General features: G+C 35.3%; 1 long non-coding RNA gene across 2 annotated transcripts in view; it reads left to right on the top strand.

Moving 5' to 3' along the window:
- Positions 1-14138: 14138 nt before the first annotated feature.
- LOC107986637 (uncharacterized) overlaps positions 14139-22873 on the top strand; it is a 30488-nt gene continuing 21753 nt past the window's right edge. Inside the window, exons 1-3 of one of the 2 annotated variants that reach the window (XR_007059929.1) lie at positions 14139-14476; positions 15729-15864; positions 16928-17583. This is a non-coding gene — a long non-coding RNA (uncharacterized LOC107986637). Of the gene's footprint in view, positions 14477-15728; positions 15865-16927; positions 17584-22873 lie in introns of those variants that run through there. The other variant, XR_001744312.2, reaches the window with a different exon arrangement.

Here is a 22873-nt window from a genome sequence, read left to right as displayed (position 1 = left end):
TAAGGTCTATGGGATAATTTTGAAGGTCTTTTCTTTTGTTGAGATTATTTGTGAGAGGAAATATAAAGTTGTAGTTCTTCCTGCACAATGATCTCAATTGGCAAGGACACCCAAAACAGGCCCAAAAGCTGTCCAAATTCTAAATTGGAAAACAAATGAATTAGCCTTAAATGTTTAGAAATAAACAGGTCCAAACAGGTCCAAAAGCTGCCCAAATTCTAAATCAGAAAACAAATGAATTAGCCTTAAATGTTTGGAAAACATATAAATTACAGTCAGTCTATTATGTAAGTCAATAAAATATTTTTATGCACTAAATTTCTTTTTTCATCAATGAAACAAATCTAAAAGTTACTTCTAAAATCTTATTTGCCCAAAGTTAGGCCACAAAGTGGAAGATAATTTTATTTTTTATTTCTCTTATTTTGAGGAGCTAGGGCTAGTAAAAACATAACTAAATAAATATAAAGAAACCAAACCCAGCGTTTTCTGATATTAAATTATTTCTATGAAAATGTAGATTCCATTTTAGGATAATCGGCTTTGTAACATGGCTTCCAGGAATATATTGTGGTAAAAGTATGATGTGCCTTTCAGTAGTATTACTTCACAGATAAACACATTACTTAATTGGAAAGCATAACATCCAGCTACCTACCGTGATGAAATGAAAAAGGACACAAAGTAAAAACAAATCAATAACACTTCAGAGTGATCAAATTATTTTCATAGTGAGTGAATGGATTCATAAACAAAATGAATTTTAAAAGGAGGGTCAGAACACAGTAAAACAGGTAGCTACTCGGGGTCAGTAGGCTCACAAAAGGGAGTTAGAGTTGGAATTCAGCCTAACAACCAAGTGGTTTTAATTGTTTATGACAGTGAGGAATAGAGTGAAGAAGAGCATATAAAAATGACAAATATAAAAAGAGCCCACTTTTTTCCCTGGTTACTTTTAACTTACATCTTCCCACCATACATTTTCTTAAATTCTGTTTGCCTACATGTAATAAAATTGTCTGAAGTGAGTGTAACCTGTTCTTTTCGTATTCTTAGTCTGATGAATATAGCAATATTCCCAAGCAGTTATCCAGATTGAGGAGCTAGGCTAGAAGACAAATAATTCACTTTTCTCTCAATCAAGTAAGCCTTGCTATTAAAGTAAAAACACAGTTGAACTAAGCAGTGCCCCTAGCAAAATAGTAAAAATTGTGAATTATGTAAATTCTAATGCATTAAATTAGAAATTGTTCTCTTTATTATGAGATATCATGGAAGCTGATTATAAACGACTGCTATTGAATGTTTCAGGGAGAAGATGAGATGATGTAAGAAGGTGAAATTTCTTTTAAGAATATTTAAATTATGAAACACAGTCTTCATGCTTCTACAAGATAAGAAACAGTTTGGTTCCAACGCTTAAAGATGGGAATTGATCAGCTGGTCTTTCTTGTCTCTTTAGTATGTTTGATTTTTTTTAAATACTTGCATGCATTGTTTTTATACTAGAGCATTTTATACATTGTTTTTATATTAAAGCATGCATGCATGTTTTAATACTTGCATGCATTGTTTTTCAGTGACAGATAAAATTGAAAGGCAAAAACAAAAGTTGGAAGTGAGAAAAAATAGATCTTCTATACATTCTTATGTTTCATAATGAAACAACAATTATCAATAAAATAAGTGAGAATTTTTATATTGCACATCTGTGAAAAGTAAGAACACTTTATAAGTTCAATAGAATGATATTTTGTCTGTGATTATAATAATAGAAAAATGACATATATAGTTTTTATGCCTTCATTTCTCTCAATAACATTCTAATAATTTATTTGTATTGTATTTTATAAAAGTATAGGCAGTAAATACATTTAAAATCATAGACAGTTTGAGACGAACTGCTCTATATCTGTGATTTTCAGACTTTAAGCTGCATATAAATCATCTTGGAATCTTGTTAAAATGCAGATTTTGATTCACCATATCTTGGTGTATCCAGAGATTCTGCATTTGTAACAGGTGCTGTGTGACAAAGATGTTGATGGTCTGAGGACTGTACATTAAATAGCAAGGCAACAGATCGCTTCTGTTATTTTTTGGATAATATTTTTAGTTGTTGTTAGTCACTAGACACTCTTGCTTTATGGGCAACCAGTCTTTAATTTTATACAAAGCATGTAAAGAATACATAGAACTGCGTAGAAACTTCAAAAAGTCAAGGCAATATCCCTGGAGTGACCACTCAGTCTCATGGGCAGGGTTGCTCCAACCATGTCTTCTGGGAAGTTCTGAGCTGGTAGAAGCGGACCCTGGTTTGAGTAGTGAGCAATTTCAAGGATTGTTCAAAGGAAAAAAAGAGGCCAATGGAACTTTGAAATTTGTCAATAGTAGTTCCCCGGGGACTTAATCCATGAACATTTCCTCTGATTTTTGGATGCAGCTTGAATTAATGGAAGTCCTTCCACCCAGCATTTCCACTGAAGGTAAACCAAATTATGTTATCTTTCTCTATAGAATTATTGGCATAAAATCTTTTAAGTATCAGTGCAAAATTATAGATTTATGGCATTGTTTTTTGATGTATTCCTTATATTTTGAGGCTAATTTGTGATAAAAGCCAGAAACATGATGATTTCTTTATGAAAAGCATACCATTTAATAAGTATGGATGAGACTACGGTGCTGAACTAATATAAATATGACGCATTAGTTCTAGGTAGTTTGCAGGCTATGCAATGTTTATATTATACTAAGTATGTTGAGTTAAATGCAGAAATACAACAAAGAGAATCTTAAATGAAAAGAAATAAAAACAGAAGTATATGAAGTTTGCAAAGTGATAGTTAAAGAGTAGTATTTCCTGATTGCAGGCAGTATACAATGCAACATAAGCAGAAAATGGCTAGATAATGGCTTTGAATATGAAGAAAGAAGTGAATGCAAATATAAAACTTATCCTAACATACCATGTTTCAGATAATTCCAAAGAAGCACATTTTCTCAGTGTTATCATGCAAAGTTCTGCATGCCATCTTGCTGTATAAAATATATTGTCATTCCATCTTCATACTTATTTGCAATACTGTTTATTGTAGAAAGAAAACAGAAGGAAAACCCTAAACAAATATTAAACATTCAGGGAAAAACCCTGTTTTATTTTGGATGTCATTTATAATATTTGAAGAAAAAAATGCTAATACTGTGAAGTAAAAGGTTTCTCTTTTTGTTTATCTTTTCCAAAGAGCTTTCTTCACATTTGAATACATCATAAAACTAAACTTTAATAGTAATATTAATTGTGGCACACTACAATAACTCTGACTCTCAAAGTAAGCTTAAGAATCAGTTATGGCCTAAACATTTATTTAAATATGTGTGGCTAGAGATGGTGGCTCAAAACAGGCCCAAAACACACCTGTAATCCTAGCACTTTGGGAGGCCAAGGTGAGAGGATCACTTGAGGCCAGGAGTTTGAGACCAGCCTGGGTAATACAGCAAGACACAGCACCCCCATCTCTACAAAATTTTTTTTTTAATTGGCAGGCATGGTGATGTTCACTGGTAGTCCTAGCTACACAGGCGGCTGAGGCAGAAGGATCATTGAGCCCAGGACTTCAAGCTTACAATGAGCCACAATGGTGCCACTGCACTCCAGCCTGGGTGACAGAGTGAGACCCTGTCACTAAATAAATAAATAAGTATGTGTAAGTATTGAAAAAACTTACTTTGCTTATGGAAATTATTTGCTGTTATTTGAAGAGTACTTAAAAAATAATGATGATAAAATAATAGTAATAATAATAATGATAAAGAGCTTCTAGTACCTTTATTTCTCTGCTAACTATAAAGTACATCCTCATTTAGGGAGGCTGAGGCGGGCGGATCACGAGGTCAGGAGATCGAGACCATCCTGGTTAACACGGTGAAACCCCGTCCCTACTAAAAATACAGAAAATTAGCCGGGCATGGTGGCGGGCACCTGTGGTCCCAGCTACTCGGTAGGCTGAGGCAGGAGAATGGCGTGAACCCGGGAGGCAGAGCTTGGAGTGAGCCAAGATTGCGCCACTGCACTCCAGCCTGGGCGACAGAGCGAGACTCCGTCTCAAAAAAAAAAAAAAAAAAAAAAAAAAAGGTACATCCTCTTTTAAGGAAGTAACACATTAACATTTCCAGGAAGGACATATGGCATTATTCTTTCAAGTCTCCCTCAAAGTCAATTGGAGTTACATATTTTTACAAAATGTGTAAAATAAAATCTTTTTTTACTGCACATTATTGCCTATTATTTCCAAGAGCAAATCAGTAAAATCTGATTATTAGCCAAAGTGATAGAATGCTTTCTGGCAAGCCACTGTCACAGATTCACACTGGGAATTAGGGAACACACAGAGTTGGCAAATAAAGAAAACAATCAACCTCCTACCTTGTCCGATATTTTCATAAGGTTTTTTGAAATAGGGGAGGCCAGAAGAAATTGGAGGAATATTACAGTTTACTTTGACCTAGGATTTTAAAATATCAGAGGAAAATAATACTTTTTTTGGATTGAATAATAATCCTTATAATTTTATAAAACCAACTATACACCTTCTGTGTGTGTGTGTGTGTGTGTGTGTGTGTGTGTTTCTGTTCCTTCATATAGTTGAGTAATCACTGCCCTTACTTTTAGGTAGCCTATAGGTATTTTCATAATTAAATGTTAAGACATAGCTTTCAAAATCTACTTTTATTGGAATTTATCCTTGATTTCTGAAAAAAAATGCAATTATTTACAGTGATCAAAGTCAGGTTGTTGTGCCTGTATCAATTTATATCTTTTGAGATCCACTGTTGGATTGTTAAGTCTTGCACACACAATCATTGTTTTAGAAAACGGTGGGATATCTTCTTAAGAATGTCATTCTGTAGTGATGAACTTAAAGTTTAATGATGTTTTCTTTTGACTCTTCTTCCAATCTGTCCTTCAATTCTCCATTTCTGTTAACCTAGCACCATGGGTGTTATAATTGCCATGAAAAAGATAGCTGAGGAAAAGACCACTGTGCATGATTAAGATAGATATTAATGTGGAAGAATAAGTGTCTCCTACAAAGTTTGAATACACCAACAGATGTTTTATTCACCAAATGACTAACCCTAAGTATGTGTAGATTTCTAGAAGTCAAGCCGAGGTTAACTGAGAATAGACTTTTAGACACAATTTCTGCAAAGATAGTTCTTAAGCCCCAACTCTGCCAATTTTATCATCTTCCACAGTATTTGTGATAGTTGGGAATAAATTCTAGTCTATTGTTTATAAATCGTTGACATAAAACATGTACTCAGTGAATAAATTGGACAAATCATTATTCTGCATTGTGATTTTTCTCCATGATTTAATATTTTTTTAGCTCCTGTGGTATGCATTGTAATGATATAAATCAGCATTCCACTTACATGAGGCAGCCTTAATTTGACTCAATATCCATCTGTGGTAAACATTTACATTTTCAAACATACCCCAACATTTGAGAGGAGAAGACAAGAATAAAATTGTATGTTAGACATATGCCACATGTCTAAATATTTAAAAGATATAAACCAAGCTATTAAACTGACAATTAAATTTGGTTCAATTCTCTTATTTTGTCAAATATACTTATTCAAAAAAGAATTTGTGCAAAGCTATTATTTTTATAAATTGAAATTTGAGAAGATGTCAGACTACTGAGTTTGTTAATGCACATATGTGGATGCCATCTTGATAAGCCAGGTATGTTCAGTGAGTAGTAATATAAATGCATAAATTGCTTCTTCCAGAATATTTCAGCTCTAGTTATTTTGCTATAATCAAAAGTTTTACATGATTTTTGTGTATTGACAGTAATGAGCTAAGGGATTAAAAGTATCCACAAAATGTAAATTAAAGTAAATATAAAACAGTAAAATTAGTTGTCATATATGTTTTCAAAGATTATATATCTTAAAATATTAAGTTTATTTATCAAACATTACACGGCAAATGCAAATTTTAATTTATGTGCACCAAAAGTTTTAAGAAAACTATTTGAATACTTTTCATGTCTGTAATCCCAACCCTTGGGAAGGCTGAGGCAGGAGGATCGCTTGGAGCCAGGAGTTCTATACCAGTCTGCAATGTAGCGAGACTCTCTACAAAAATAAAAATAAACCTAATGCTAAATGACGAGTTAATGGGTGCAGCACACCAACATGGCACATGTATACATATGTAACAAACCTGCACATTGTGCACATGTACCCTAAAACTTAAAGTATAATAATAATAAAAAATAAAATAAAAATAAAAATAAAAATAAATTATCCAGGCATGGTTGTGTGCAACTGAAGTCCTAGCTACTCAGGAGGCTGAAGTGAGAGGATCACTAGAGCCCAGGAGTTTGAGGCTGGAGTGAGTTATGATCATGCTACTGCACTCCAGCCTGGAGATTCTTTTTATTTGTTTAAAAAATCAATTCAAACAAACATTTTGTTAAAAAAAAAATTCTAGCATTCTGTACTCATTTAGTTGCCACTATAAAGAATTGCTATCATACCTTAGGCATGTTATTTAACCACCATATATACAAATGTAAGAGTAAAAGTATCTTTAGAAGTACGAACTGGGAAATAAAAAGAAGAAAAGAATAAAAATGATGCCTTCAACGCTATTGGGAAACCATACTTCATTATGCAAAAATCTGTTGAATTCATGCTATCCTCTTTGGCAAGTTAATTCATTTTTCTTATCTCTTAATGTGTTTGCCTCCCAAATATTCTCTGCATTTTGAAGCAGTGTGTTTATATCTTCAATGTTGTTGCTACAGTTTGGATGTGTTTTCTCCAAAATTCATGTGTTTAAACTTAATGGCCAACACGATGATGTTAACAGGTGGGGCCTTTAAGAGGTGATTAGGCCTTGAGGGCTCCTGCATCCTGAATGGAAAGGGAGGCTTCCTGTGCTGCCTTCCACCAGGTGAAGACACAGCCTTCCTCCCTTCTGGAAGATGCAGCAAGACACCAAATGCTGGTGCCTTGATCTTGGACTTTTGGCCTCCAGAACTGTAAGAAAATAAATTTCTGTTCCTTGTAAGTATCCCAGTTTGTGGTATTTTGTTATAGAAGCACAAATAGACTAAAGTAGAAGGCAGTGGCACAACCCATACACATTTGAGCACTGCTGCCTTCTGTTTTGAGAACACAGGGCAAGAGAGGTGGTGAAGTGTTTCCCTGGGGCCTGGATGGTATTAGTAAAGAAAGCACAAGTTTAGGGTGCAGGTTCTAGAACTGAGCTCTGCACACTGAGTAACATAGGCGGTCATGTTTTCTAACATGAATTACTTCTGTTGTTTATTATATGCAGAGTTCTTTAAAATACAGGACCCAAAGCAAGAGGCCTTGTCCAAGTTTCAGGACATGTTTTTTGTTTGTTGTTTGTTTGTTTTTACATATGATGCAGAGGGCTTAAGAAATCAGTTTGGGAATTCAAGATACAACCACATTTAGTCAAGACATATTTTAATGATGGATAAGTCAAAACCACTTAAACTTAAATTTCTGTAAAGGAGGAAAGAAAGTTTCCAGTTGCTTTGTAGTTATATATTAATTATCGCTTGATATCTGCAAGGCATTGGTTCCAGCACTCCTGTGGATAACAAAAGTTGCAAAAGCTCAAGTCCCTTAAATAAAATGTATAACATTTGCATGTAACTTGCACACATCCTCCTATATATTTTAAATCATATCTAGATTACTTATCATTCTTAATACATCTAAGTGCTGTGTAAGTATTTACAGTGTGTTTTAAAGTTTGCATTCTTTATTGCATTATTCTTATTTTATTTTCTAAAAATATATTTGATCCATGGTTGGTTGAATAATCTTCAAATGTGGAACCCATGGATATGGAAGGCTGACTGTATATAATTTGCATTTTTAGGTATAATTTACACGCTTTGGAGGTAGATGGGGTTTGTGCAGAGAATGTAGACATTGACAATTAATATTTGCTGATTGATACCAATCAGTTACCTTCCCATTAGAAATGACACTATGTAATCTTGAGAAAATTCTTCTGAGAGAATTCCATAGGTTTTGCAAAATATTTTGTGAAGTCATGTTTCCATTTAATTATTGATAGTTAACTTGATGCTCATTATAGTTATGAATTATAATTCTGCTGAGAAAAAAACATTTTTATGTAAGGGACAAGAAAGGGAAAGGAAGACGAAAGAAACATTCTAGCAAGCCAAATGGCAAAAGTCTGGCAACATGTAATACAGATCTGCCAAATACATCCTGCTGCTTTTCAGTGTGGCCACCTGCCAAATAGCTCTGCATTGCATCCTCAATAGGTTTGACAAGAGGAAGTGAAAAGAGACTCCACTGTAATGCTATGGCTCAATTAATAAACACTCATTCTGGAAACCATTAATTGTTTAAATTGGGTTTCCTGTCTGGTAGAATGTTCAGGCTTGTAGCCGAACAAGATTAGTGCTAATTCTCATTAGGCATTTAAAAATACTTGTTTTAAGGACATCTCTTATTTATTAATTATGTGCTTAGCATCCATATTTTAGATAAAGGGCAAACAAAGTACAAGTCCTAGAGGGCTGAGTTAGTAATAAATAAAGCATAAGAATAAACTGTTCCACATTTAAAAATTCATGATTCTGGGTTCAAACCAAATTAATTTCTTAAGAGTAATGTTTCCTTCAGAGTCCAGTACTCTTATTATTCCTTAAATCAGTTTCATGTATGGTTGCCCATGTTGGCAAAGTAAAACATTCTGCTTTTTAAATATTCCTAAGTTAAGATAAATCTTAAATTAAGGGGGATAAAAGCTTTATAGAACTAGGCACTGTAGAAAAAAAATCAAGAGAAATAGTACTAAGTATCCCAAAGAAATACACAGAATAATAGAAATGTTGAACTTAAAATCATGAACTATGTATGATTATTTAATCCAACTATTAATTTTAGATGTGAGGCAAATGAGGGCTTTGTGATTTCCAGTCCCATATTCCTGTTAGTAAACCTTGATGTTCATCAGAAACATCTAATGGATGATTCATGTGTTTAAAGTATGGTAGCAGAAAGCCATATTTTCAACAGATGACTAAGGTTATTTACAGGCATATGGTCCATGAATCTCACTTTCAGAAACCCTGCAGGACCCAATGTTACTACCCTGAATAGAAGACAGTATTGAATGTTGCAAAGGTTAGAAGGGAGATGATTGACCAGTAAAATGATGGAAATGCAAGAAAATAAGAATGTTAAGATTTTTCAACGCCCACACCCTAAGAAACGGGATTGAAAAGCAGTGACTTCAAGTATAACACCAGAGTTTCCATTTGGATCCTTGAGGTAGGCCACTTCCATTTTCTGTCGGCACCCAACATCATTCTTCCCTCCCTCCTTTATTTACCTCTTTGTGTGTATGTGTACATTTGTTAATATCTGTCTCTCCCTCAATATCATGAACTCCTTTGAAAGGAAAAACTGTCTTACTTTTGCACCTCCTCAATTTTCTTATTTCTAAATGAACTATATGGTTCCTGTCTACTTTGCACTTAATTATCCCATTTTTCCCTCAGTTCTCTTCACATCAGTTAGTGCAACTTTAGGACTAACTTCTTTGTCAATTGCTTTGTGTCCAAGCAGACTTTAGGTTCTGAGTATAAAGTCCATATGTGATACATATCTTTATACCCACCAGAATCTAAGAGAGTGCTTGGCACAGAGTAGGCAGTTTATACTGGAGAGCAGGCCTTTATTGACTGATGAGAATATGTGACAGGATTTGAAATCTTATCCAGCATACACGTTTTGATAGCAGCTACCGAAACAAGGGAATGTTGGAAGGGAACTTAGGATGACAGGAGGAGGGTAAAAGGCAAATTGAGTGACTTTCACGTTTTGAGTCAGTGAGAACCAAAATAAAGGACTGGTTCAAATCCACAGGTTAAACTCAAGGAAATATATATATATATATATATATACAAATTATATATATAATATATATAATATTATATATTATATATGTAAGATATATTATATATTACATATATAATATATACTATATATAATATATAATATATAATATATTTTATATTACATATATAATATATACTGTATATAATATAATATATAATATATTTTATATCTAATATATATTATATATTATATAATATATTATATACATTTATAATATATATTTGTATAATATATATTTATATATTATATACATAATATACATTTATAATATATATTTGTATAATATATATTTATATATTATATACATAATATATGTGTATAATATATATTTTTATATTATATATTTATATATTATATACATAATATATATGTATAATATATATTTTTATATTATATGCATAATATATATGTATAATATATATTTATATATTATATATTTATATATTATATACATAATATATATGTATAGTATATATTTATATATTATATATTTGTATATTATATACATAATATATATGTATAGTATATATTTATATATTATATATTTATATATTATATATTTATATATTTTATACATAATATATCTTATAATATATATTTATATATTATATATTATATATTTATATATAATATATAATATATAAATATATAATATATAAATATTATATTATAATATATATTATGTATATAAATATTATATATAATAGATTGTTAACCAGGAAATCATGTGTAATTTTATTAAACTGCAGTTTAAATCAGTTGTCTAGCAATAATGGATCAGAGATGCAGCAAGATATTTGAAATGGATGAAGTGAAGGGAACTATTGTTTTATGTGAACATTACGTGCCAGGGTCTGGAACATATTTTATATAAACTCCCCAATTAAAGAGAAAAAATGTGGTTTTCTGTTAAGCTATAGATAGTGCAAGGGTGAATACAGCTCTAATGATGATACTCAGATTTAAAAAGATGCGGCAGTTCTGGAATTTCAGTTTTATGGGGCTTTTTTCTCCCTCAATCTTAGAAGATACAATAGAAGACAAACATATTTGTTCATGTTCATTAAAAGAAAGCCTGACAGTGCTGAAAAGAACAGGTAGTGACTGATTCCAGGAAATATTATCTGTGATACAGTTGTAAAAATTGCAGGGCATCTGTACAAACTACAATTTATAAGCAAACAGAGAAATCATGCTGGGTTCTTTTACTTTCTATTAAGGTCATAAAAGAAAGTAGAAAAAAATAAATTTAGAAGACTTTTTTTAGCAGTGATTAACACAGAGAGGAAACAAAATGAATGTGTAGTTAAGAGCCATTATATTTTTTTGGTGGGGAAGTCAAATTAATAGTTTTTTTTTCCCTAAGAAAAATTTGAACTCTAATGGACTTTTGACTACAAATCACCTATCAGGGGATTTTTTTGAAACTACATATCATTTATCAGGGGGATTTTTTGTATGTGTGTGAAGTGATTGATAGAATGACATTTTTCTATTGTCTGTAGATAAAATATGCCAAAACTATAATTGTTTTCAGAAGTTTGAAGTCATAAAAATGTATTTCAGTAGTGAATTTTTTAAAAGTATATTTAAGCCAGGGAAAAAAGATACGGAAGTGACATTTTCAAAGGGATGGGGGTGTCATTAAAAGTTATTCCATGATAAAGGAAAATTGCATCGGTTTTCTTCTTATAGCAGATTCTCTCGCCTATCATAGTCAGTGTTATAACTGGGTTAGATAAAATGCAGGTAAATTCTTGCTGTCTTCATACTTCAGTTCCAACCAATCTCAGGATTTTTTTTTTACATGTACACTAAATCAGTAGAGTAAAAAACTAACATTAATAAATAACTTGAACTTTCTTTTACTCTTCAAGATTTGAGCCAGCTTTAAAAAATGCACAAGCCAGTCCAAACTTGGTAGATATCCCTTTTATTTCCTTAAGTAAATTTTCTCAACTGCCAAATTGAAAAATTTTAATTTATTAATGCTTGCATGAATAATTCACTCTCAGACACTGAACGATCCCAAACAAACAAGCCAGTTTGTGTATTTAGTTATGTGAACTTTTGAATCCACTGCCTCATAAATCCAGTACTTTATTGAACCTAAAAAAAAAAAAAAAAAGTGCTGACCCCTATTGGCCCCACCATTAATTATCTCCCACTGCAGACATCACATCTTTTCTTTACTCTTCAGGATTGTTTCTTCCTTATTAAACATTTTATATATTTTCCCCTATTATGTCTGTGGTGCTCCTCAGTAGGCATTGGATGGCTTTGGTATAATTTCAGTAATTTTTCCCAGGATATTCTGCTGTACCCGTAAAGATATCAGTTATTTATTTTCTAACATAAATCTATGGGAAGTATTGATATATTCATCTCCACTAATGAGAAGATTGGGCCTCAGGCAGGTTGATACATGGTCAAGATCATTTCAATCCAAAGTGTTGCACCTTTCTTTTTTTTTCTTTGGCCTGTAAGTCATGTTCTTTGCCTCTGATCACTCCTGTGCCCTGTGACTATCCAGCAGACCTGATGATATTTTCCCTGGCTTCCGTCTTACAGATCCCTTCCCTGAGCCTCCAGTCTAAATTGGGTCCTCATTAGACAGTACTGTCTTCATTACCTCATATTTGTATAACAATTTGGGATTGTAAACTTGTGTGATTGATCATATATGTGTCATGTGCTATCCTGTAAAGCTCAGTGAGGGGACGGATTGTATCTATTTCACTTCCACTGCTGCATCACTTGTGTGCACCACAGAAACTAACATACAGCAGGGCACACAGTAAATATCATTGAAAGAGTGTGTTAAAGTGAGATTTAAAACCAAGCCTGTACCATGGAAGTCACAGATGTACTACTGCAGGAGTGGTTGTGGTGTTTTCGTGAACGGTTCCTATACATGGATTCCAAGTCCTGGTGGCTACATATGCACTATCCTGTACCCTATATTCTATATTCTATACTGTCATACTGAAACTAGGTTGAAAGCTCATTGAAAGCAGATCTTACGGTTTCTATTTAGACTAAATGAAACATGTAGTTAGTTGGTTAACCCTTCATAAGTACTTACTAATTGATTGGAAACTGATCTTAACATTTAATTTGTTACAGAGCATACTTTATTTCACTAAAGCCATCTTCCTGACGCTGTTCTCTAGCATGCTTTGTTCTTCTGTTATAATGACTGACGATCATAATCAGGAAAGGGTATGCCTGGTGTTAATGCTTCATTTTTTCCCTTTTATTCACAGGCAGTTGGAGTGATCAAGCTTTCAAATCCCTGAAAACGTGAGCTGTGCTATGTCTGGGGCAGGCTCCATATTTTTATTATGTACCACACAACTCTAAAAGCAATACAGAAATTCAGGGCACTTAGATTGAAAAATGAACACTTTCCACATTTAAAGGAGAAAGACTTACATATTTTTGGAGTTACATACATTCTTCATCCCATTTATGAAATCCAAAACCCACGGTTGGGCATAAAGCAGGAGATTTAATACTCTTCTGCTGGTGGGTTTTGTTGATTTTTACTGCCCCCTCCACCCACCCCTACCTTATCCCACTCCATCCCCTCTGCTCTTTTTGTTCTTCATAGTTTTGTGCTAACTTCAGAGCTGCAAATGTGTCATTGATCACAGATTTATATATATGAGCTAAGAGCAGGAATGCTAAAATAATTTCTTTCTCAGGCCTTAAAGATAAATGATAGGTCAAGATGCTTTACTTCATAGCCAAACATACTAAGGCACAGAGCAACATGGCAGGAATTTGAGTTGTGAGCGCCAGAAGTGCTTGTTCAGCACTAACAAGAAATAGGAGAATAGGATCAGTATAATCTCATATTCTTATTAAATTAAAAAAAGACAGAGAGTAATGCCAAGGTTATGACATGAACTGACAAGACCAAAAAAAAAATCAGTTTTTCTGATGCTTCAGCCTTTGCAAGCATAGGAAAGAATTAAAAAAAAAAAAAAAAAAAGCCCTGTGGCATGAGTTATAGATGAAGTATCTGCCTTTAGCTTGGAATTTCCTGGCATTTTTCAGCCTGTGACACAGACTTGATGTGATTAAACAAAGGCTTTTCTCCAAATTTAAAGCTCTTAAAAAAAAAAGCTGAATCTAATACTCTAACTTGTTTTTAAATGGGAGCAGATGCCTCTGTTTCTTGAGCTGACTTCCAGATTCTGAGAAATAAATGAAGAGTGGAGGCTTGTTTTGGTAGAGGCTGAGAAAAGGAGTTGGCCATATTTGCCCTTCAGAACTTCGTGTCATCCCCCAGCTCCCCAACGGCAGGGCCACATTCTTTCACAGGACGGAGTTGGGGCAGATTATGGCTTCCTCTGGATTGGATTTCCCTTGGCTTCCCTGAGGGCAATCCCCCGAGGAAGCACATCCTGGAGCCAAACTCACCCAATGAACCACAGCAACAGCTCCTAGGAGAATGAAGAGTGTGAATGGAGTAAGTACATGCGTATGGGTGGACGTGGTGGCCAACTTGGATAATCTCTGAGGTTCTTTCTAGGCCTGACATCCTAGGATGCTCTAATAAAGGACGACCCCTGAGATGAGGCAGAACACAAGACCCTGGGCTGGCAGGGGGTTTGGAAATGGCACTGAGCCTTAGCAAAACTCAGTTTTCTACTGAAAAAAAAAAAAAAAACAAAACAACATAGCTCCTTGAAAAATTATTTTTGATTGGAATCTATAGTTATTTATCTATCAATCAGACATGTTCTTTTAAACTTATTATTTATAAGTAAGTACCATCCACAGTTTGGCATGTGTTTACATTGCATGGGTGTGTTTGTGTATGTGTGTGTATTTGCTCAGTATCCTGTTGCAACTCTTTCTAAAGCCTGCCCACTCATGATGTAAGTTTTTTGTTTTTTGTTTTTTGTTTTTTTTAGATGGAGTCTCGCTCTGTCACCAGGCTGGAGTGCAGTGGCACCATCTCAGCTCACTGCAACCTCTGACTCCTGGGTTCAAGCGATTCTCCCACCTCAGCCTCCTGAGTAGCTGGGATTAAAGGCATGCACCACCACGCCCAGCTAATTTTTGTATTTTTAGTAGAGATGGGGTTTTACCAGGTTGGCCAGGATGGTCTCCATCTCCTGAATTTGTGATCTGCCTGCCTCAGCCTCCCAAAGTCCTGGGATTACAGGTGTGAGCCAACTGCTCCCGGCCCATGATGAAAATTTTTACCAGTGAGTTTCTAGACTCTTGACTTCAGAGTCTGTAATGGTTATCATTACATATATTAAGGCACACTTAAACCTTATGTTAAAAAAGCATGAGGAGTTAAAAATTGTTTTGCATTAAGATAAACTTTATTTTTTGTAATTTGTTTCACCACCTCTCACTTTTTTGAATACTTGTAAAGCATTCATTGAATAAAGAAATTATGTACAAAAATGTTACATCAGGAGCTGTAGGGTGCTTTAAGAATTTAAGCACCAAAGATTATATGGTCCTAGACACTTAACACTTTAAACAGAATAGTATTAAGGTTGTGTTAAAAGCTGCTACAATTTATTTAAGGCTGTGCTTTAGTATTTGACCTACAAAAGTATTTGAAAGCCTCTAAAACGTAAAATCTGGAGGTCCATGGAAGAAGCCCGATCCAACAACCCTGCCACAGACAGTTTTGACTCCATTAAATGTTGATGATCTTGAAGAATTAGTCATGGAAAAATAATTTCAATTTCTTCTAGTGGCCTTTTCAAAATGATGAGCCTGGAAGAGTTACAGACTCTGGCCCGAAAGAACCAAAGTTGAAGGTAGAGATGTTTTAAGGATGAGCAGAGCAGAACAACTTAGCAGTGGGATGTTAAAGGCAACATGAATCAAGTAAGTAACTTCCTTTTAATGTTCCCAAAGTGCTTTCCTTGGGACCTGTTAGAGCAATTGCCAGAAAATATTAACTATAACATTTAGCTATGGTCATATCTGTCTCGCCAACGTTCTGTTGGCTCCTCAAGGAAGGGAATATAGTTTATTTCTGCCCCCTCCATGACTATTGTCCCAAAGATGAAAATGCTGATCATTGAAATCATTTTATCAGTCTCTGAACTGACTCTCTGGACTTGAAATTTTTGCTCAGAAGTGTAACAATCACCTGAAACTTGGCACAGCCACACAGCTTTCTACCTCTACCTCTCCCAAGTCTGTTTCTTTCCCATTTCAATATCAGTTTCTCAGTGCAAACCTCAAAAGCTATCCTTGATTCTTTTGCCATTTACTCTGTCTTCCATTCTCCAGCATCACCGGCAAAACGTATTCTGAAATCACCAACTCTTCTTTATCTCGATGTTCACTTTAGTTCAAGCCAGGTTGACTGTTGGGATGGCATATCCCAGTGTCCACACTGGTCCCTGTCTCAACCCAGATCATTTCCACATAGCAGCCAGAGTGATCTTTAAAAAAGTTTTAAAAAAGTTAAATCTATGTATGTCACATCTGTTCTGTACCCTCCACTGGATTTCTACCATAGTTAGGATAAAATCCCAAGTTATTTCTGAGGGAATGAGGCCCTGCACCCTGCATCCCCTGGCTTGTCTTCTTTGGCTTCATCCCGTACACTCTACCCATTACTCAGCATGTTACAGCTACATGGGCATTCTCTCTGTTCTTTACATCCAAAGCTCAGTCAGACACTTTCCCTTTCTTCAGCAGCGTATTCTCTGCTCCATGAACCCCTGGGGCTGGCTCCTTCACATCAGTCTGACGTCCATCTAAATGTTTATTTCTCAGCAAGTTCTTACCAGGCCTCTTTGCCTAAATTAGCACACACACCAACACTCATTTTTACTACATCATTCTGTTTTATTTTATTTGGAACATATATGGTTATTAAGCACTATCTCTTGTTCATTTTTTGTGCTCGCTTATTTTTTGTTTTCTGCCATGTCAGCCACTCCCTGCTAGAATGGAAGATTCATGGGAGCAGGAACCTTGTTTACTATGTTCCTTATTGCAATCCTAATGCCTGGAACTCTAACTAATACGTAGGAGGACTCCACAATTCATTGAAAACTGAAGAAATGAATTCACTTGCGCATTTCCAGTTCCATTCCTGAACTCTTCCTTTAGTGAGAAGCACATGATGACCTTGTTAATATGAAAATTGATAATGGGGTGAGAGAAGAAAAGAAAAGCATAAAATACCTGTCTAATCCATGCACCACCAGACACCAGAGCATGTGGGAAGTGGCCAAGAAGATGATGCAGGGACGTCTGAGCCCACTTTCTTATTGGACTTTCCTAGGTACTGTGGCCTGGGAAATGATATTAGAAGTAATGCATTAGAAGTGGAAAACAAAACAGGAAATTTAAGGTCAACATTCAGAGTCTACTGTGCTCTCTTACTTGGGCTCACCTGAGAGCATCTTGGTAGGCCAATGTTGTTTCAGGGGCTCTGAAGTGGGATCCCCTTGAGAAATGACCTTGAGTTTCTCTGTTCCACACATATGGAACCCTAGCCTTTGGAGGACACTTAGGTCTATGTGCTTGGGATATAACAAGACTCTGCTTTTGATCTTGAAAAGCTTGAATGATATTTAGGAAGGCATGATATATATACAAGGAAAATGAAACAATGTTTATGGTTTTTTTTTTTTTTTTTTTTTTTTTTTGAGATGGGGTCTCACCCTGTCGGCCAGGGTGGAGTGCAGTGGTGAGAACTCAGAGGCTCACTGCAACCTCCACCTCCCGAATTCCGGAGATTCTCTTGCCTCAGCCTCTCAGGTTGTTGGGATTACAAGCATGTGCCACCATACCTGGCTGATATTTGTATTTTTAGTAGAGACAGAGTTTCATCATGTTGGCCAGGATGGCCTTGAACTCCTGACCTCAAGTGATCTGCCTGCCTTGGCCTCCCAAGGTGTTGGGATTACAGGCGTGAGCCACTGTACCCTGACAGAAACAATTTATAAGAAAAATTACAAAGTAACAATGTGTGCAAAGTGTCAAATAAAGGATAACTTCAGAACTGATGACTTCAGAAGCACAGAGGGATGACTGTGAGTAAAAGCGATTAGGGAAGTGTTCACTCACATTTACCAAAATATGTAAAACCACTGGAGTTGTAGTGAGGCTGGAAAAAAATGGTTTTCTGAATATACTGGAACTAAATATTTATTTATTTATTTTTTGGCAAAGTATTGTGAGATCAAAAGTTGACCTCCATTCAATTAGCAACAATTAACATAACATAGGCTTTAAATTTTAAAATAATGAGCTATAGGATACAGTGTTTTTACATCATTGAATATTAAGATTTGTATAAGAAAAAAAATCATTCCCAGTCCTATGTTCAGTTTTACCTTCGTATTTTTCAAATTATTCATAGCTTGATTTCAGATACAGATTATCTAGTTCCTTTATTCTCCTTTTCACATACGTTGTCCTCTTTTTCCTTTTAGTAATTCAGACATGAAGAGAAGCTCAACTTAACCACTTAGATTATTTTATTATTTTACTTTTATTTTATTAGAATGTTTAGCAGCTCTAAAAAAAGTCTTGGAAAGAGAGAAACTCAAAACCAATTATCCAAGCAATATTTTGAGGCTATCTGGTGATTTTCAGTATTTGTGCTCTTGGTATCACCTGAGATCAACATAATTGTGCATTGAGTCCTGATTTACTACAGTTTATCAGGCAAGTTTTTGGAAGGTATTGTGGGCCTTTCTTCACAGCTCTTTAGTAAAATGCCCAGCCCTCTTCTAAGAGCTGACTTTCAAAGCTACATGGGCTCTTTCAGATGGTTATGAAATCTTCAAGCAGCACTATCGGACTCTTTTGGTCTAAACTGATAAAATTTCCAAAAGAGAAATCTTGTGACTTGAGAGAACGCAAAGTAAATGCTGAACAAAGGGAGTTGGTTAATAAAAGCTTCTCTACTGAAAAAGACAATGAAACCCTGGTCTTTGATTATTTAGACAAATTTGAGATATTTCCATTTTCATTCATTTCCAATTCTTTAGTAGATAAATTTTTATCAATAATTTGTGAGCTGAGAATTTCTAAAGTTGTCCCTGAATAAGGCATTTGTTGGTCAAGTAGCTATTATAGCTGAATTCTTTATCAGAAAGACTTCACTAGGCAGCTGAATACTTTATTGCCTTTTCTCAGTCTAGTTAACAAGGGAGAATAGTCCCTTGTTAAATGCATAAATACTTATTCAACTCATACTGTAGCAATTTAAAAGTGTTCCCGGAAATGCCATGGGCGTTTTATGGATTATGAATTCTTTCAATTTTCAGTTTAAAATTTATATCATAACCACAATAGTGTTGAAGACCTTTAGAAAAGAAAACCTCACTTCTTCCTTAAAACCTATGTCTGAAACTGGTTATCCTCTCCTTTATGGAGAGAAAAAAAACTATAAAATTTATGAGTTTGGAGGAGAATCAATGTCATGTATATCTTAAATCATATTTATTTATACCTGGCATATTTATCCTAGCTTAAAGAGCTCTATGACCCCCAAATAGTAAAGTGGTTAGTGTACAGGGGGAACTTCGGAACACATCTAGTGTGTATTTCTCCTGGTACATCGCTTCAGCTGATCCTCCCAGGGTAAAGGGTGGAGAAGTACTGGAGGTCCCTGCGGGATGTCTAACTCATTTATTCTAACAGCAGGCAGGATCTTAAGATGACCACCAATATGCATCTTATTAACTTATCACAACTCAGGACAATTTGCCAGTTTCCAATATTATTCATTCCCTATAATATAATTTGCTATATTTATTTACTTATAATAATATAATAATTCAAGCAAATACAAAATATTTAATTTATATTTTATTTGTTTTATATATAATTATAAAATAATATAAAAATAATTCAAGCAAAATTTTATTCCTATAGCAAGAATATTGTTTCATCTTTATGAGAGTTTCTTTTCTTTTATATGGCCTTTCACATACAAAGTGTACCTTGCAAATAAATCAAAAAGTAAGTTTGTACAACAAAGCCATTTACTTCAAAGGAAACCTCAAGAAAAGTACTGATCAACTATAATGGGATTTTCTTTCTATCTTAGTATAAGTTGTGACTACCAGGACACACACCTATGTACACACACATACGTATGTGTATTACATATGTATCTGTGTATGTGTATATATACATGCATGTATGTGTATATATACATACACGCATGCATAACATACATACACACATACATACACATGTATAGTCTTTTTTCCTCTGTCCTACAGTGGTAAAAATAAGACAGACTTATATTCAGAATACAGAAAGGAATGCTTGTTAATTTTTATTTTTATTTTATTTTATTTGTTTGAGATGGAGTCTTGCTCTGTCACCCAGGCTGGAGTGCAGTGGCATGATCTCAGTTCATTGCAACCTCCACTTCCCGGGTTCTAGTGATTCTCCTGCCTCTGCCTCCCCAGTAGCTGGGATTACAGGAGTTCGCCACCACGCCCGGCTGATTTTTTTTTTTTTTTAGTAGAGACAGGGTTTCGCTATGTTGGTCAGGCTGGTCCTGAACTCCTTAACCTCGTGATCCGCCCGCCTCAGTCTTCCAAAGTGCTGGGATTACAGGCATGAGCCACTGCACTCAGCCTATGCTTAATTTAAAACTTTGCTTGCTAATCTGAAATTGAATTTATTTGCTAATCTTAAAATTGTTAAACATTATCCTAAAATGCAAGATCATTATATATTTTCACATAGATTCACATCTTGAAGCTACTAGAAGGTGGAGGGGAGGAACTATTTGGTGTAGGACAGTTGATTTGACAAATCTTAGCATTTCTGTATTTCAAGACTCTGAGAAATCCTTAAGTTCAGGGGTTCCCACATAGTGATAGGCCTATGTTTGGGTGGAGGGCAGAGCATTTTCTCTATCATTTCTATAAAACAAGAATTTTAGTTCCCCTATTTTCCAAACTTCTAAAGTCAACATTCCTTTAATTGTGAGCAAGAATAAATGGGCTTCTATTATACACACATAAAAAATTCCCATTGTTTCTAATATCTCTCATTAGATATTAGGCAACATGGGGAATCAAATAAGTACCTTTAATTTTCATCTCAGATGTGAGAAAACTGGAACTTAGAAAAGCAAAGTAAATGCTCATGGTCACACTACTGTTAAGATAAATCTGGGATTTAAATGTAGGTCTCTCTGATTATAAAACTCATGTTCTTTCTCTTGCAGGATGCTGCCAGTGACCCCAGAGCCTTTTGTTTTCCTCCAATATTCTCAGTGCTTTAAATATTTAATGATCCTTCAACGTCTCTCTGAATGCACTCCAAATTATGGAAGTCCTGGTTGAGAGTGGGGCCTGGAGCAGTTTAGAACCCTCTAATCAAAGGCAGGTCCATCTCTGGAGGAAGTTCCTACCTGGGGCAGAGAACAACTTATAGCACAGTGCTCCAAAATTTTCAGAGAACTGTGGGTAAGATGAATATCAAGGTCAGGCTTAAAGTGGAGCAACAAGGGAACGGATATCCCAGTTAGCAATCTGTGGCCCAGGGAGTGAGAGAACTTTAGCCTCAGCCATTGCATTTGTAACTGTTTGAGGATGCAGGAGGGAGGGTCCAGGCTGGGCCTAGAGGACACTGAGACATATCTGGGCTTATCTAATGAGGTTGAGAAGTTGGTGGGCCACCAGGCTTGCTTAACGGGAGGGTAGAGATTTTCACATTGGAGTTTTCATGTGGTGATGTGTTTCCTTAGCCTCCCTGTTTTCTAGGATACATGGACTAAGGCATTGGAGTGAGATAGGAAAAGCTGGAAGGTCTCTATGAGATCATGAGAGGCAGGGGTAAAGGGATCTGCAGTAACTCAGTGTGACACAGTGTGGAACAGAATGATCTCTTTGCCTCTGTGGGGAGGACAGCGTGCCCTAGCACTGTGGCTGGTAGTGTTGGTGTGTCAAGGTCTGTTTCAGGTGGCACTGAAGGCTCTATGAGCATTGGCGGCAGAGTGGTGTGTTGGTGAAGAAGGAAAGCCCTAGAGCTCACAGCCATCGAAGAGACACACCTAAGACAGCTCCTCACACTCCCAGAAATGTCCTGGGGGAACTTTACAGGGGCTTCACTGGGATGTGTGTGGGGAGGGCAAATTTCGGTTATTATTTTAATTGTTAGCCTAACCATGTCTGCATCATGATACCATAAGCCAGGGAAACAGTTGGGTCAGAATTAATGGAAATTGTTACTTTTCTCACGCGGTGATGTTTTAAGTGCCTGCTGAACTCCATTTCGGGCCCATAGACTCAGGCCACGCAGGAGTGCCTCATTTCTGACCTTATAGATGACTCAAGTAGGACCCTGAGAGACTGCTGAAAGCTTTCCTTCATTTTAACTAATTCAGCACATATTCTGTGGTTGCTTTCAGAGAGTAAGGCCTTGTACCAGGAACTTCCACTGTAGCCAAATAGAATCTGCAAGCGTGCCATAAGAGAAAGCCTGGTGCAAGGGACAGAAGATAGTTCCAGAATCAAAAGACCTCTGTTTGTATTTCAGGACATGTTATTTTGGGCAAAGAATCTGATGTCTCTGGGCTCTAGTACTCTCAACTGTGAAATGAGAAAATATTTTATGAATGCAAAATTGGGACATAGAGTCTGACCAAGGTTTCCTATGGGAGTTTCAGGTATGAGACTCAAACTAGCTCCTAGAGATTGGGTCTTACAATGCTTGACTTGGGGCTACAGTTCAAGTGAATCTAATAGAAATGGTTTAGGATATTTAAAGCAAAGATTCCGCTAGACAATTTTGAATGAATTTAGTATAGAACCTCCCTCGTGGTGGAGTTCTGAGGATCAAATGAGGCAATGAAGGTGGAGGATATTTTTAAAATGTAAAGCACCAAATAAATATT

Source organism: Homo sapiens, chromosome 6 (assembly GCF_000001405.40).
Source record: "Homo sapiens chromosome 6, GRCh38.p14 Primary Assembly".
In the NCBI taxonomy this organism is placed as follows: domain Eukaryota; kingdom Metazoa; phylum Chordata; class Mammalia; order Primates; family Hominidae; genus Homo; species Homo sapiens.
This window is presented reverse-complemented; position numbering and strand designations above follow the sequence as displayed.